The following is a 17,891-nucleotide window of genomic DNA, read 5'->3' on the forward strand; positions in this document are numbered from 1 at the left end:
CTCAGTTATTGGTATGGGAGACCTGTAGCAGTTACATCAATTTATAGGAAAAATAGTGAAGGTATCTTAAAAAGATAAGAAATGAGGTAATGCTTTTCTTGTCACTCCAAGTCTTAAATTTATTGTGACATGTTTGCTGTTCTGCAGATGTGATCATCTGTGTGGCACTTCCTGTCAGATGCACTTGGATCATTGTTCTTGATTATCAGTTTTGAAGGAGAATCTTTATTAGTCAGTAGAGTAACTGGGAGGATCTGGTTTGTTTTGTTTTGTTTTGTTTTTTCTTATTTATATTTTTTACCACTCTTGTGCATGTGCAAATGTTCTGCACTAATAGAAAATATATTCATATTTAGCATACCATTTTCTTCATTTGTCTATTTCTCTAAATTATTTTATTTGAAATTTTTTATTAGCAACTCGGAGCAGAAGCCGCACCAATATGCTAATGGACCTACATATGGACCATGAAGGATCATCTCAAGAAACCATTCAGGAGGTGCAACCAGAAGAGGTGTTGGTCATTTCCTTAGGTACAGGTCCCCAGCTTACTCCAGGGATGATGTCAGAAAATGAGGTATGAATCAGTTGCTTCTATAAATCAATATTCATGTCTTAGTCCATACAGGCTGCTGTAACAAAACACCAGAGGTTGGGTGGCTTATAAACAACAGATATTTATTTCTCACATTTGTAGAGGCCAGGAAGTCTATAGTCAAGGCAGATTCAGTGTCTTGTAAGGATCTGTTTACTGGTTCATAGATGATGTATTCTTGCTGTGTCTTTGGGCTTATTTTTTTTTGAGATGGAGTGTCACTCTTGTTGCCCAGGCTGGAGTGCAATAGCACGATCTCAGCTCACTGCAACCTCCCAATCCCGGGTTCAAGCAATTCTCCTGCCTCAGCCTCCTGAGTAGCTGGGATTACAGGCATGCATCACCATGCCCAGCTAATTTTGTATTTTTAGTAGAGACAGGGTTTCTACATGTTGGTCAGGCTGGTCTCAAACTCCCCAACTGAGGTGATCCGCCTGCCTTTGCCTCCCAAAGTGCTGAGATTACAGGTGTGAGCCACCGCGCCTGGCTGGTTGGGCTATTTTATAAGGGCACTTATTCCATTTGTGAGGGCCCTGCCTTCATGACCTAATCACCTCTCCAAAGGCCCGATCTCCAAATACCATCACCTTGGGGGTTAGAATTTCAACATACAGATTTTGGGGGAGCACAAACATTCAGATCCTAGCAATGAATTTTTTTTTTTCTTTTTCTTTTTCTTTTTTTTTTTTTTGAGACAGAGTCTCACTCTGTCACCTAGGCTGGAGTGCAGTGGCACGATCTCAGCTCACTGCAAGCTCTGCCTCCCGGATTCACACTGTTCTCCTGCCTTAGCCTCCCAAGTAGCTGGGACTACAGGTGCCCGCCACCACGCTCGGCTAATTTTTTGTATTTTCAGTAGAGAAGGGGTTCCACCGTGTTAGCCAGGATGGTCTCGATCTCCTGACCTCGTGATCCACCTGCCTCGGCCTTCCAAAGTGTTGGGATTACAGGCGTGAGCCACCGTGCCCAGCCATTTTTTTCTTTTTTTTTGACATGGAGTGTCACTCTGTTGCACAGCTGGAGTGCAATGGTGCGATCTTTGCTCACCACAGCCTCTGCCTCCTGGGTTCAAGCAATTCTCCTGCCTCAGCCTCCTGAGTTGCTGGTCTTACAGGCATGTGCCACCACACCCGGCTAACTTTGTATTTTTAGTAGAGACGGGGTTTTGCCATGTTGGCCAGACTGGTCTCGAACTTCTGACCTCCAGTGATCCACCCACCTTGGCCTCCCAAAGTGCTGGGATTACAGGTGTGAATCACTGCACCCAGCCAATGAATTTAATGCTTAATTCTTTGTTATCTTCAGTGGTCCCACCATGACACACCATCACATGCTAAGCTCCCTGTGAACAGTTGTGAGGCCCTTCACATTAATACATCTGTGGCACTGAGGTTGGTGAATAGGTCCAAGCATAAGGAATTTTCCAGGCAGTAGCAGAAGAGAGATGAAGCCAGGAGATTGTGGTATGGAAATTAAAGAGACTTTTCCAGTGACTTGTAGGAAATGTTTTGTGTTCATTTTCTTTCTAGTGGTATACTAGTAGTATTCCTGCATTATAGAGCCAAAAATATGTTGAGATGTATTTTGAGATACATGTTGTATTCTTTGGCTGGTCAGGAAAAAATGGAAGAAATAATGGAAAACTAAGAAAATAAATTTTTTTAAGAAATGGAGTTTGAGGCTTGGGAATCATTTTTAATATATTTGTAACAAAAAGCTTGGCTTAAAGGTGAATGAAAAGAAGGTCAGGCCTGGTGGCTCACACCTATAATCCCAGCACTTTGGGAGGCCGAGGTGGGTGGATCCCCCGAGGTCAGGAGTTCGAGACCAGCCTGACCAACATAGTAAAACCCCATCTTTACTAAAAATAAAAATTAGCTGGGTGTGGTGGCGCATGCCTGTAATCCCAGCTACTTGGGAGGCTGAGACAGGAGAATCGCTTGAACCCGGGACGTGGAGGTTGCAGTGAGCTGAGATCGCCCCATTGCACTCCAGCCTGGGCAACAAGAGTGAAACTCTGTCTCAAAACAAAACAAAACAAAACAAAAAACAGAAAAAAGAAACAAAAAGACAAGAAGAAGAAATCTTGACTCCCTAAAGATAGGAGTCTCTTCTCATAGAATTGTGAAATTGTGACCTCCTGAAAAAGTAGCAGCTTCTTTTTTTTTTTTTTTTGAGACGGAGTCTCACTCTGTCACCCAGGCTGGAGTGCAGTGGTGCGATCTCGGCTCACTGCGAGGTCCACCTCCCGGGTTCACGCCATTCTCCTGTCTCAGCCTCCCTAGCAGCTGGGACTACAGGCGCCCGCCACCACGCCCGGCTATTTTTTTGTATTTTTAGTAGAGACAGGGTTTCACCATGTTAGCCAGGATAGTCTCGATCTCCTGACCTCGTGATCCGCCCACCTCGGCCTCCCAAAGTGCTGGGATTACAGGTGTGAGCCATCGTGCCCTGCCAGTAGCAGCTTCTTATATTCAACAGTGATTGCTTGTTATTCAAGAAAATGGGCTAGAAAGAAGAGGCCAGTTTTAGTGATTGATAAAGTGATGGTGGTTGGTAAAGCTGTGTTTGGGACTATGACATGATACCCCATAGGGAAGAAGACCAACAATCTTCGAAACTCCATCCTCCACACACACACACAAATAAGCTGGCAAAAACTGTCAGAATCAACTTATTTGGAACTCTGGAATCTAATAAAAAACTTTTAACAACAAAGGAATGCTTAATGAAGAAAAAGACTGCTGAATTTTGTTAAGAGAGCTCTGTGATCCTACCCTGTTACCATCTTCAACCCCCAGCCCAGTGGCTGCTTTGAAGACAGCTTATATTACTGTGCAGTGTGCTGGTACTTGAGGGAGGAATGTGGACCTTATTCTGAAAGCAGCATGGTTGTGTATTTTGATCTGTCTGGTAGGTCCTGAAAGATCGTCTCAAAGGCTTGGCTTTGTTTTGCCTGCCTCTGATCTTTCCCAGGGCCGAGGCAGCTACACAGGTGGCATTTGTCAAAAGTATTGAAAAGCAGATATATTAGTTGCTTCTGCTTGCATTAAGGGATAACAGTCAGGGCAATCCGCATACAGATCCAAATGCTTATGAAGGAAGAGGCTTGGGAAGGAGACACCAGGGGGCACAAAGGCTTTGAAAAGCTCCCACGTGTTCTGGGGAATCTACCAGGTTGTACACATACCCAGGGCTGGTCATGTGCTCAGGAAAGACCCTAGAAGATCCAAGCTCTCACTGCTGGGTAACCTTCAGGCTGAACCCAAGTAGGAAGTGAAGGCTAAGGTACAGTTGCAAACTGCCTGGCTAAGTGTTGAAGTTCCCCAAAACAGAGCCAATCTTCAAAGACTTGGAAATGTTTTGTTTTGTTATTCCAGGTGTTAAATCTGCCAAATCACGTGCTCACCACTAAGCTAACAGAACAGAAACTTCAGAGGCCACACATGACAGAAAATTTAGAGAGATCATTAAATAGTCACTACAACAAGCAGCAACAACCAACTAGGGGTTAAGGGTATATAATCTGATTTCCAGAATTGCCACTTTGTAACATTTATTTGTTTATTTTTTATTTTAATTTTTTTATTATACTATAAGTTCTGGGATACATGTGCAGAACGTGCAGGTTTGTTACATAGGTATACATGTGCCATAGATCTACATTAGATATTTCTCCTAATGATATCCCTCCCCTAACCCCCTACCCCTGCGACAGGCCCCAGTGTATGATGTTCCCCTCCCTGTGTCCATGTATTCTCATTGTTCAACTCCCACTTATGAGGGAGAACATGCGGTGTTTGGTTTTCTGTTCCTGCATTAGTTTGCTGAGAATGATGGTTTCCAGCTTCATCTGTATCCCTGCAAAGGACATGAACTAATCCTTTTTTATTGCTGCAAACCACTATGGCACATGTATCCCTGCAAAGGACATGAACTAATCCTTTTTTATGGCTGCATAGTATTCCATGGTGTATATGTGCCACGTTTTCATTATCCAGTCTATTGTTGATGGGCATTTGGGTTGGTTCCAAGTCTTTGCTATTGTGAATAGTGCTTCAATAAACGTATGTGTGCATGTGTCTTTATAGTAGAATGATTTATAATCCTTTGGGTATATACACCCAGTAATGGGATTGCTGGGTCAGATGGTATTTCTGGTTCTAGATCCTTGAGGAATTGCCACACTGTCTTCCATAACAGTTGAACTAATTTACACTCCCACCAACAGTGTGAAAGTGTTCCTGTTTCTCCACATTCTCTCCAGCATCTGTTGTTTCCTGACTTTTTAATGATCACTTTATAATATTTAAAATGTCTGCTTTTCAGCAAAACTTATGAGGCATATAAAGAAACAAAAATATGGCCCTTTCACAGGAAAAAAGTTAATAGAAAATGTCCTTGATGGGCCAGGCGCAGTGGTTCATGGCCGTAATCCCAGCACTTTGGGAGGCGAAGGTGGGCTGTTCATGAGGTCAGGAGTTCGAGACCAGCCTGACCAACATGGTGAAACCCCGTCTCGACTAAAAATACAAAAATTAGCCAGGCGTGGTGGTGTGCACCTGTAATATCAGCTACTCAGGAGGCTGAGGCAGGAGAATCGCTTGAACCTGGGAGGCGGAGGTTGCAGTGAGCCAAGATTGCGCCATTGCACTCTAGCCTGGGCAATACAGCGAGACTCTGTCTCAAAAAAAAAAAAAGAAAACGTCCTTGATGGCCGGGCGGTGGCTCACGCCTGTAATCCCAGCACTCTGGGAGGCTGAGGTGGGTGGATCACCTGAAGTTGGGAGTTTGAGACCAGCCTGAGCAACATGGAGAAACCCTGTCTCTACTAAAAATACAAAATTAGCCAGGCCTGGTGGCACATGCCTGTAATCCCAGTTACTCGGGAGGCTGAGGTAGGAGAATCGCTTGAACTTGGGATGTAGAGGTTATGGTGAGCTGAGATTGTGCTGTTGTACTCCAGCCAGGGCAACAAGAGCGAAACTCTGTCTCAAAAAAAAAAAAAAAAAGAAAAGAAAGAAAAGAAAGAAAATGGCCTTGATGAAGCACAGACATTGGACTTACTCAAGACTTTAAATCAATTTTTTTTTTAATATACTTAAAGAGCTATGGAAACCACGGACAAAGAACTAAAGAAAACCAAGAGAACAAGGTCTCACCAAATAGAAGATATCAATAAAGGGGTAGAAATTACAGAAGGAACCATATAGAAATTCTGGAGTTGAAAAGTATAATAACTGGAATGAAAAATACACTAGAGGGGTTCAACAGCAGATTTGTACAGGCAGAAAAATCAGTGAACTTGAAGATGGATCAATTGAGATTATCTAGTCTCAGGAGCAGAAAGATTACAAAAGACAAAGACATTATATGTTGATAAATAGTCATTAAGAAGATACACCCAGCACTTTGGGAGGCCGCTCTCACTGCAGCCTCCGCCTCCCCTGTTCAAGTGATTCTCCTGCCTCAGCTTCCCTAGTAGCTGGGACCACAGGCATATGCCACTATGCCCAGCTAATTTTTGTATTTTTAGTAGAGACAGGGTTTCACTTTATGTTGGCCAGGTTGCTCTCAAACTCCTGACCTCAGGTGATCTGCCCACCTCAGCCTCCCAAAGTGTTGGGATTAGAGGCGTGAGCCACTGTGGCCAGCTAAAGTTTTTTTAGCACTCAGATTCTGTGGTTTTAGTTTAATCCAGAGTTTGCAGATGCTCTGATTTAGAAGCATGAAATTAGATTTTCGTATTTTATACTCCAGTGTGTATTTTGTATTTTATACTCCAGTGTGACTGACTTTGTACAGTGGCTTTCTGTATGGCGTCTCAAAATTGCTTGCCTTTGGATATGATTTGGAAAAAATATCTTCATTGTGTTATATAATCCCTTTTCTGTTAATTCACGTGAATCTCCAGACCTTGAAATGATTTTTCTCCTGATGTTTTAGTTTCACATCACTCACTATGGTGAATAGTTTAAGTTATCTAATTTAAAATATTTATGTTGGCCAGTTATGGTGGCTCATGCCTGTAATCCCAGTATTTTGGGAGGCTGAGGTGAGAGGATTGCTTGAAACCAGAAGTTCAAGACCAGCCTGGGCAACATAGTAAGACCTTGTCTCTACAAAAATAAAAAAATTTCCAGGGATGGTGGCTCACACCTGTAATCCCAGCGCTTTGGGAGGCTGAGGCAGAAGGATCCTTGGGTCCAGGACTTCAAGACCAGCCTGGGCAACTTGGCGAGACCCTGTCTTAATAATAAATAGGCCAGGCGCAGTGGCTCACACCTGTAATCCCAGAACTTTGGGAGGCCGAAGCAGGCAGATCACTTGAGGTCAGGAGTTTGAGACCAGCCTGGCCAACATGGTGAAACCCCATCTTTACTAAAAATACAAAAATTAGCCGGGTGTGGTGGCACATGCCTGTAATCCCAGCTACTTGGGAGGCTGAGACAGGAGAATCGCTTGAAACTGGGAGGTGGAGGTGGCAGTGAGTCAAGATCATGCCATTGCACTCCAGCCTAGGTGAAAGATTGAGACTCTGTCTCAAAAATATAATAATAATAATAATAATACGAAGAACTAAAATGAAAAAAATTAGCTGGGCTTGGTGGTGTGTACCTGTAGTCCCAGCTACTCAGGAGGCTAAAACAGGAGGATTGCCTGTGCCTAGGGGTTCAAGGCTGTGGTGAGCCATCATTGCACCACTGCACTCCAGCCTGGGCGACAGAATGAGTTCCATCTTAAAAAAATTTTTTTTAATAAAAATTTTATGTGTATTTAATTTTTTTTTTTGAGATGGAATCTCCCTCTGTCACCCAGGCTGGAGTGCAGTGGTGCAATCACAGCTCACTGCAACCTCCACTTCCCAGGTTCAAGTGATTCTCCAGCCTCCTGAGCAGCTGGGATTACAGGTGTGTGCCACGACGCCTGGCCTATGTCTATTAATTTCAAGCAAATAGGGAAAAAAAAACTTTTTTTTTTTTTTTTTTGAGATGCAGTCTTGCTCTGTCACCCAGGCTGGAGTGCAGTGGTGCAATCTCAGCTCATTGCAACCTCCACCTCCCGGGTTCAAGCGATTCTCCTGTCTCAGCCTCCCAAGTAGCTGGAATTACAGGCGTACACCACCACACCTGGTTGATTTTGTATTTTTAGTAGAGATGGGATTTTGCCACGTTGCCCAGGTTGAACTCCTGACCTCAGGTGATCCACCGGCCTTGACCTCCCAGAGTGCTGGGGTTACAGGCATGAGCCGCCACCGCTCCCAGCCAAAAAACCTGTATTTAAAGGCATCATGTGTAAATGTATAAAACCATTTCAAAACCTTTAATTTACTCAGAGCCAAAACAGCAACCAAGAATTTTTTTTTTCTTTCTGTTTAAAAATCATTTATCTTTTAGCTGACAAAATTGTATCTATTTATGGTATACATGTTTTGATATACATTGTGGAATGGCTGAATCAAGCTAAATAACCTGTATCGCCTCACATATTTTTCATTTTTTGTGGTAAGTTTTTTTCTTTGTAAGTGAGGGTACTATTCTTCCTTCATATTTCAGCAACAGCCAAGGGAGCCAAGGCCTCTGAGTTCAAGTCCAAGGTGTACCTAAAACATGCTATGTGACTTTCAACAAAGCACTTAATTCTTCATTAAGGTGGAGATATACACACAAAGCTGAGTTGTGAGGCTTGTAGGGAGTAGTGAGATGTAGTTATGTTATTTGGAAGTCATCTGGCAAATGGAAAGCATATAAAAAGGCCATCAGTCTAAGCTGGAGATGTCTGTGAAGTCATACTTTAGTTTCTGGTGTGGACTTTTGTGGCCCTGTATGTATGTTGTGATCAAGTGGACGTTCAGACTAGATGGATTAAATCTTGATGCCTACAAAATAACATGATTACACGTTTTCTTCTAGTTGAATTTATTTACTTTTATTTACTTTAAATTTTATTTAAATTTTGCAAATTTAGTATGTTTAAAAATTTTATTTATTGATTTTTTATTTTTATTTTTTTGAGATGGAGTCTCACTGTATCGCCCAGGCTAGAGTGCAGTGGCGCGATCTCGGCTCACTGCAAGCTCCGCCTCCCAGGTTCACGCCATTCTTCTGCCTCAGCCTCCCGAGTAGCTGGGACTACAGGCACCCACCACCAAGCCCGGCTAATTTTTTTTGTAGTTTAGTAGAGATGGGGTTTCACCATGTTAGCCAGCATGGTCTCGATCTCCTGACCTCGTGATCTGCCTGCCCTGGCCTCCCAAAGTGCTGAGATTACAGGCGTGATCCTCTGCGCCCAGCCTTGTTGATTTACTTTCTTTAAATTTTGCAAATTTAATACGTGACATGACAACTGTTTTATGTGCATCTTTTTACTTAATTCTCAACAATTACATGGCATACATACTGTTACTGTCACCATTTTATAGATGAAGAAACTGAGGCTTAGAGAATTTCAATAACTTGCCTATCCAAGGTTACATAGTTGACACATGACAGAATTAGAAGGACCAGCGTGCTGACACCAAAGACTTCTGATTTGTATAATTCTCACCACTACTCATCTGGTAGTCTGGTTGCCTGTTCTATCTGTAACACTCGTAGGGTAATGGAAAGGCATGGCTTCAGCTGCTTTAATTTATATACTTTTATTCCACAGGTATTTAAAAGCTTGACAGACCTTCTAAATAGGTTTGTAGTTAAAAATTGATAATTTAAGATTAAGGAGTTAAATATGCATTTGCTGTGGTTTGTTTCCTTATCAGTAATCTTTCCATTGATAAACCAAAATTGACATTTTATTTTTTAGGTCCTAAACATGCAGCTTTCGGATGGAGGACAAGGAGATGTCCCTGTTGATGAAAACAAACTCCATGGTAAACCTGATAAAACCTTGCGCTTTTCCCTCTGCAGTGATAATCTGGAAGGAATATCTGAAGGTGAAGGGTTACTTCATTCAAGGAGTTGTGTGGTTCAATTAATAGTTTGTTTTGTGTTTTTTAAAGGAGCTTATAAATTATAATTATACCATCTGTGCTTCTCACTGAGGAGACTAATGAAGATTTCCTCTAATGAGCCTGAACAGTTGGCTGTAAAGATTGTTTCCTGAATAAAATTAAAATTGCAAGATGCCTTTGGTCATATAAAATGGAGAAGATATGTCTTTATTCAGACTTAAATAGAATAACAGCAAGTTCTGTTTCTGCAGTATTAATATATACCAAAGCTTATAGAGCTCCTTTAGAAGGATATCATGCATGTCGAAACGGGAAAAAATGGACTTACTAGTATTTCAATATGTTGCACATACTCTTAAATGTTCTGTATTCCTTTACTCACACTCACACATACCTTTATGAAGCAGAAGACAATGGAAATAGGTATTAAAAAGAAAATTCAAAGCCAAGATTGTGAAATGAGAATATGTCATTTTGCCTACTAGTACCAATTTTTTTTTTTTGAGACAGAGTCTCGTTCGTTGCCCAGGCTGGAGTGCAGTGTCGCAATCTCGGCTCACTGCAAGCTCCGCCTCCCGGGTTCACGCCATTCTCCTGCCTCAGCCTCCTGCATAGTTGGGACTACAGGCACCCGCCACCACGCCTGGCTAATTTTTTGTATTTTTAGTAGAGACGGGGTTTCACCGTGTTAGCCAGGATGGTCTCGATCTCCTGACCTCGTGATCCGCCCACCTCAGCCTCCCAAAGTGCTGGGATTACAGGCGTGAGCCACCGCGCCTGGCCCCGGGTTTTTTTTTATTTAAAGACAATAGTTCAAATTTACTGACATTTAAAAAGAAACCTAAAATATAATAACTTCATATTTTAATCTGACTTTTCCAAAAAAATGACATGTAATGTATGTTCATTCTACAAAACAGAGAAATAGAATCACCTATAATCTCAAAATTTTGTTGATAGCAGTTGACGTTTTAGATTATTCACAGCAAAATTAGGTTTATCCTGTTTTGTAACCTTTTGTAATTTAATAATATGGCATTAACATTTCCCTTTGTAATTTAACATTCTTAAATAACATGGTTTTTATGGCTGTTTTCCTTAACCTCACATGGCATATCATAATTTTTTTCAACTTTCTTCTGTGATTAAATCTATAGATTTCTTCCACTTTTTGGACATAATAACTTCTGGGCTGGGCGAAGTGGCTCATGCCTCTAATCCCAGCACTTTGGGATGCCGAGGTGGGTGGATTCACTGAGCTCAGGAGTTTGAGACCAGCCTGGGCAACACGGTGAAACCCCATCTCTACTAAAATACAACAAATTAGCTGGGTGTGGCAGCGTGTGCCTGTAGTCCCAGCTACTCGGGAGACTGAGGCAGGAGAATTGCTTGAACCAGGGAGGCGGAGGTTGCAGTGAGCCAAGATGGTGCCACTGCATTCCAGCTTGGACGATAGAGCGAGACTCTCTCTAAAAAAAAAAAAAAAAAAGAAGAAAAAGCTCTATAACAAGCAACTTTAGATTAATTATTATTATTATTTTTTGAGATGGAGTCTCACTTTTGTTGCCCAGGCTGGAGTGCAATGATGCGATCTCAGCTCACTGCAACCTTTGCCTCCCGGGTTCAAGCAATTCCCCTGCCTCAGCCTCCTAAGTAGCTGAGATTACAGGCATGTGCCATCAGGCCGGCTAATTTTTATATTTTTTGTTTTGTTTTGTTGTGTTGTGTTTTGTTTTGTTTTTTGAGATGGAGTCTCGCTCTGTCGCCCAGGCTGGAGTGCAGTGGCGCGATCTCGGCCCACTGCAAGCTCTGCCTCCCGGGTTCACGCCATTCTCCTGCCTCAGCCTCCTGAGTAGCTGGTACTACAGGTGCCCGCCACCACGCCTGGCTAAATTTTTATATTTTTAGTAGAGGCTGGGTTTCACCATGTTAGCCAGGATGGTCTCGATCTCCTGACCTCATGATCCACCCACCTCAGCCTCCCAAAGTACTGGGATTACAGGCATGAGGCATTGCACCCAGCAGATTAATTTGTTATTAGCACCTTAGGATAAATTCCTAGAAGCAGAATTTCTCAAAGGGCATGTGTTTTTTTAAGGTATAAAAAGTATTAAAAACACTTTAATCAGTTGTTAGTCTTTTATCAAGGCATGAAAAATTGTGTGGTGGCTCATGACTGTTTTAAAAAGATTGCTCACACTATAAACATTTCTCTAGGTCCTTCAAATCGCTCCAATTCAGTGTCCTCCCTAGACCTAGAAGGAGAGTCTGTGTCAGAACTTGGAGCAGGACCTTCTGGCAGTAATGGAGTTGAAGCTCTACAGCTGTTAGAACATGAGCAAGGTAAAGTGAAGTTGAACACAGTTGCCTAAGTAGCAAAGAATTTACCTGATTGCAAGATGAGCAGTGTGTTTTCATTAAGTTGGCTTGGTTCAGTAAGAGATTAAATCACCATTAAACTTAACATTTATTCATCATTCCTTCAGTTCTTCAAAATCTATTTAGTTGGTAAGTGGATTGTTTAGGCTTAATAAATTAATATAAATTACTTGAAATTCAGTAATATTTGATATTTTAATTATGTAATATTTTAGGGATACAATGTAAATACTCAAGGCTCAAGGAACTTAGAATAGGGAAAGAATAGTACACAATTGATTTAAAGTATCATGAAAGTATTTGGCAGTTCTGAGTGAGAGATACATATGGTTGAAAGTATAGGGAAAGCTGCTGGGCCCGGTGGCTCACACCTGTAATCCCAGCACTTTGGGTGGCTGAGGCGGGTGGATCACCTGAGGTCGGGAGTTCAAGACCAGCCTGACCAACATGGAGAAAGCCCGTCTCTACTGAAAATACAAAATTAGCCAGGGTGGTGGCACATGCCTGTAATCCCAGCTACTCGGGAGGCTGAGGCAGGAGAATCGCTTGAACCCAGGAGGCGGAGGTTGCGGTGAGCCAAGATCGTGGCATTGCACAACAGGCTGGGCAAAAAGAGTAAAACTCCGTCTCAAAAAAAAGAAAGTATAGGGAAAGTTTATTGGAAGAAAATATTAGCCTTGAGGGCTGGCTGGCATTGCCTTGGCAGAAGTTGGAGATAGGTCATTCTAGGTGAAGGACAAGCATAAGCAAGTCAAAGAGGTGGGAAGCCATAGTACTTTTTCAGGTATCAGTTAGGGAAATGGAGTGAGGTAAGGATTAAAAAGTAGGTGGATCCCTGTTGTGGAAAGAAGGATATCAGTATTTTAGTAGTAAGCTGGAAGCCACTGAAGGCTTTTGGTTCAGTGAAGATGAGGAAGTGAGGTGCCTTAGGAAGATTAAGTTGAAAGAGTTTTTTGGATTTGTTCATTTAAGATGATGCCCTTGGCCAGGTACAGTGGCTCGTGCCTGTAATCCCAGCACTTTGGGAGGCTGAGGCAGGTAGATCATTTGAGGTCAGGAATTTGAGACCAGTCTGGCCAACATAGTGAAACCCCATCTCTACTAAAAATACAAAAATTAGCCAGGTGAGGTGGTGAGCACCTGTAATCCCAGCTACTCAGAAGGCTGAGGCACGAGAATCGCTTGAACCTGGGAGGCAGGGGTTGCAGTGAGCTGAGATCGCACCACTGCACTCTAGCCTGGGCGACAGAGTGAGACTCTGATTGAAAAAAAAAAAGATGGGCCGGGTGCGGTGGCTCATACCTGTAATCCCTAGCACTTTGGGAGGCCAAGACAGGCGGATCATGAGGTCAGGAGATCAAGACCATCCTGGCTGACACGGTGAAACCCTGTCTCTACTAAAAATACAAAAAATTAGCTGGGCATGGTGGCAGGCGCTTGTAGTCCCAGCTACTCGGGAGGCTGAGGCAGGAGAATGGCCTGAACCCGGGAGGCAGAGCTTAGTGAGCAGAGATCACACCACTGCACTCCAGCCTGGGCGACAGAGCGAGACTCCATCTCAAAAAAAAAAAAAAAAAAAAGATGATGCCCTCAACTAGGTTTGACACAGTGATTTTAGCATGCATAAGAATTACCTGGTTAGCTTTTTAAAAATTCCATTTCCCAAGTCTTACTTCTAAAAAAGAAGTCAGTTTTTAGAAAGAAAAAGAGTATTGTCATTGGAGTGTGTGTGGCTTGAAAAAAGTAATGCTGTATTTTACTGGATTTGTTTATCAGTGTATTAATTAGGATTAAGTTTGTTGCAAGCAGCAGAGAAAACTCAAGTAATAAAGTAGTACCTCCTTATCCATGGTTTCACCTTCCATGGCTTCAGTTACCCATGGGCAAACTTGGTGCAAAAATATTAAATGGAAAATTTCAGAAATAATTCATAAGCTTTAAATTCTGTGCCATTCTGAATAATGTGATGAAATCTCACACAGTCTCACTCTATCACATCCAGGACATGAATCATTCCTTAGTTCAGTGTATCCACATATACACTACCTGCCTATTAGTCACTGCTTATCAGATGAAAACAGCATGGAATATATAGGATTTGGTACGATCCGAAGCTTCAGTTATCCACTGGAGGCCATTGCATAAGTGGAGGAGGAACTTTCATATGAGCTTATGAAAGAAGTTGAACAAATGTCACCTCTTTAGCAAACTTCCTGGGAGATTCTGAGATAGGTGGTTGGCATATGCAAAATGCTAGATTAAGAAGTGAATTGATAGGCCAGGCACAGTGGCTCACGCCTGTAATCCCAGCACTTTGGGAGGCCGAGGCGGGCGGATCACCTGAGATTGGGAGTTCGAGACCAGCCTGACCAACATGGAGATAAAATTCTTTAAAGTTGATTAAAAAGTCATAGCTGTGCTACTATTTTAAAAGTGCTTAATTTTGTTTTTGATAGCTACAACACAGGATAACCTTGATGATAAGCTAAGGAAGTTTGAAATTCGTGACATGATGGGATTAACAGATGATAGGGACATATCAGAAACAGTGAGTGAGACCTGGAGTACAGACGTCTTGGGAAGTGACTTTGACCCTAATATTGATGAAGATCGCTTGCAAGAAATTGCAGGTAACTGCCATTTAATGTCTCTGAAATATCACGGTTTAGTTATTCAAATCCACCAACCTTTCATGGGAGGGAGCACCAGTGCCCTGACAAACATTGTGTGTGTTAGCACCATCTGGGAAACTGTTATAACTGTATGGAACAAGGCATTTGGGTACTTTTTTCTTTACTTAAATATAACTAGTGTTTTTCCTTTCTACATTTAATCCCACCCCTTACCCATCCTCCTCCCAGCTGCCCAAAAAAAAAAAAGAAAGAAAGAAAAACCAGTGTTTTGAATTAGCTTCTGGTCAAGTGTTGTTTGCAGGGCATAGTATAAGTTCTTAGTCTGTCTCTAATTAGTATATTCTCTGTTTGAAGCCAAACACCTAACCTTAAGATGAAAATTCTTATAGATTATAGCCATAAAATCTTTCACAACAATATGATACTGCTGTTCTCTAAAAAAATGAATTCACTTCTGGAAGAGTTAATTCAGTTCCTAAGGGTAACCAGGTTTTTCTTTTTCTTCTTCTTACATTTTTATTTATTTTCAAATAGAGACAGGATTTCGCTTTGTTGCTCAGGCTGGTCTTGAACTAATGAGCTCAAGTGATCCTCCTGCCTTCTTTTTTTTTAATGTGAAGTTTATTCAGGTGCTATGTATATACACTAAAATTCGCTCCTTTTTGGATACTGTTTTATGAGTTCTGAAAGATATATAGTCTTGTAACCCTCATCTTCATTTTGTTTTTAAATCATGGAAAATTTATTGATATGTTTATTTTTCTTCAACTTTTATTTTAGGTTCAGGGGGTACATGTGCAGATTTGTTACATGGGAAATTGTTAGAGCAAATTGTATGTTGCTGGGGTTTGGTGTACAGATGATTTTGCCACCCAGGTAGTGAGCATAGTAACCAATAGGTTTTTTTTTGTTTTTGTTTTTTTAATTTAAGATAGAGTCTTACTCTGTCGCCCAGGCTGGAGTTGCAGTGGTGCGATCTCAGCTCACTGCAACCTCTGCCTCCCTGGTTTAAGTGATTCTCCTGCCTCAGCCTCCCGAGTAGCTGGGACTGCAGGTGCCCACCACCACACCCAGATAATTTTTGTATTTTTAGTAGAGACGGGGTTTCACCATATTGGCCAGGCTGGTCTCGAACTCCTGACCTCAAGTGATCCATCCGCCTCGGCCTCCCAAAGTGCTGGGATTACAGTCATGAGCCATTGCTCCCGGCCTAAATCATGGAACATTTTAAACAAATACAAGAGATGGTGGTATCATGAACCCAGTGTACCCATCACTCAGTTTCAGGAGTTAGACCCACATGGCCAGCTTTCTTTCATCTGTTCTCCTATCCACTACCCTCTTCTCTCCCCTCATTATGTTTAGGCAAGTTCCAGACATTATTTTATTTCTAATTATTTTATGATATAGCTTTAAAAGGTAACTTTTATTAGTAACTTTTTTTCTAATTTTTTTTCATGCCCTGAAGTAGAATTATTCTTTTATTAGGTTTAATCCAAAGTAGTGAAGCCTTTTGAACTTCAGTGTTTTTAACACAGACGTATAATAATGTTTAATACTTTCGATTTGTATTTTTAAGTAGTGCAAATAGATTTCTTTTTTTTTTTTTTTTTAAATTTATTTTTTTATTGATAATTCTTGGGTGTTTCTCACAGAGGGGGATTTGGCAGGGTCATGGGACAATAGTGGAGGGAAGGTCAGCAGATAAACAAGTGAACAAAGGTCTCTGGTTTTCCTAGGCAGAGGACCCTGCGGCCTTCCGCAGTGTTTGTGTCCCTGATTACTTGAGATTAGGGAGTGGTGATGACTCTTAAGGAGCATGCTGCCTTCAAGCATCTGTTTAACAAAGCACATCTTGCACTGCCCTTAATCCATTTAACCCTGAGTGGACACAGCACATGTTTCAGAGAGCACAGGGTTGGGGGTAAGGTCACAGATCAACAGGATCCCAAGGCAGAAGAATTTTTCTTAGTGCAGAACAAAATGAAAAGTCTCCCATGTCTACTTCTTTCTACACAGACAGGGCAACCATCCGATTTCTCAATCTTTTCCCCACCTTTCCCGCCTTTCTATTCCACAAAGCCGCCATTGTCATCCTGGCCCGTTCTCAATGAGCTGTTGGGCACACCTCCCAGACGGGGTGGTGGCCGGGCAGAGGGGCTCCTCACTTCCCAGTAGGGGCGGCCGGGCAGAGGCGCCCCTCACCTCCCGGACGAGGCGGCTGGCCGGGCAGGGGGCTGACCCCCCCCCCACCTCCCTCCCGGACGGGGCGGCTGGCCGGGCAGGGGGGCTCACCTCGGGAGGCCGAGGCTGGCGGATCACTCGCGGTTAGGGGCTGGAGACCGCCCGGCCAACACAGTGAAACCCCGTCTCCACCAAAACCAGTCAGGCGTGGCGGCGCGTGCCTGCAGTCGCAGGCACTCGGCAGGCTGAGGCAGGAGAATCAGGCAGGGAGGTTGCAGTGAGCCAAGATGGCAGCAGTACAGTCCAGCTTCGGCTCCGCATGAGAGGGAGACCGTGGGGAGAGGGAGAGGGAGAGGGAGAGGTGTAAATAGATTTCTTAATTGGTTTTACATTACTTTGTTCCAGATGCCAAAGTGGTATTGTTCTTGGCAGTTAGCTGTATTTGCGCAATAAGCTGTATTTGCAGTTGAGTGAGTGCTATGAAGATGTGTATTTTCCTGTGAATGTATCTTATTGCCCTGAATAGTGACTAATATGCTGGAAGAAAAAATATTTGGCCAGCATAACATTCTGTGGTTAAACTCTCAGTGTTTTTAATCTTTGTAGGGCTATAAATTTTAGAACGATATTAAGGACCCCTGTAAAATTTGCTGAGAAATCAAAGCTAAAGCTGTTGAAATTACTTGACTTAATGATGTGTGTTTTCTCTATGGAGAGTCAAAGGTGAACTGGAGGAAACTGGTGAAAAGGGTATTGTGCCATTGTGACCAAAGTAGGAACTTGTGTTTTTAGTGGTGTGCTTGATTGAAGTTATTCTTACTTTGGCCTCTTTCTTGTAGGTAGAGAGGAATTTGGTGGTTTTTTTTTTTTTTTTGAGACAAAGTCCCAAAATGACACGGCCATTTTTATTTTTGAGACAGGGTCTCACTCACATTGACCAGGTTGGAGGGCAATGGCATGACCTCGGCTCACTGCAGTCTCTGCACCCCCTGCAACCTCTGCCTCCCGGGTTCTTGTGCCTCAGCTTCCCAAGTAGCTGAGACTACCGGTGCACGCCACCATACCTGGCTAATTTTTGTATTTTCAGTAGAGACGGGGTTTCGCCATGTTGGCCAGGCTGGTGTTGAACTCCTGGCCTCAAGTGATCTGC

At 42.6% G+C, this 17,891-nt stretch overlaps 1 protein-coding gene across 56 annotated transcripts in view; it reads left to right on the top strand.

The window, feature by feature from the left end:
- The window catches only part of GAPVD1 (GTPase activating protein and VPS9 domains 1), a 105,382-nt gene that overhangs the window by 50,210 nt on the left and 37,281 nt on the right, over positions 1–17,891 (top strand). For 34 of the 56 annotated variants that reach the window (NR_148732.2, NR_148733.2, XM_047423183.1 and 31 more), the window contains 4 exons: positions 417–577; positions 9,398–9,527; positions 11,763–11,888; positions 14,381–14,554. Coding sequence is in view for 54 of the 56 variants with exons in the window: in XM_047423183.1 (XP_047279139.1) it covers positions 417–577; positions 9,398–9,527; positions 11,763–11,888; positions 14,381–14,554 (591 nt within the window). In the remaining 2 variants the exon portion in view is untranslated. The remainder of the gene's footprint in view (positions 1–416; positions 578–9,397; positions 9,528–11,762; positions 11,889–14,380; positions 14,555–17,891) is intronic. The other 22 variants (XM_047423200.1, XM_047423194.1, XM_047423207.1 and 19 more) reach the window with 1 other exon arrangement.

Source organism: Homo sapiens, chromosome 9 (genome assembly GCF_000001405.40).
Source record: "Homo sapiens chromosome 9, GRCh38.p14 Primary Assembly".
Lineage (NCBI taxonomy): Eukaryota > Metazoa > Chordata > Mammalia > Primates > Hominidae > Homo > Homo sapiens.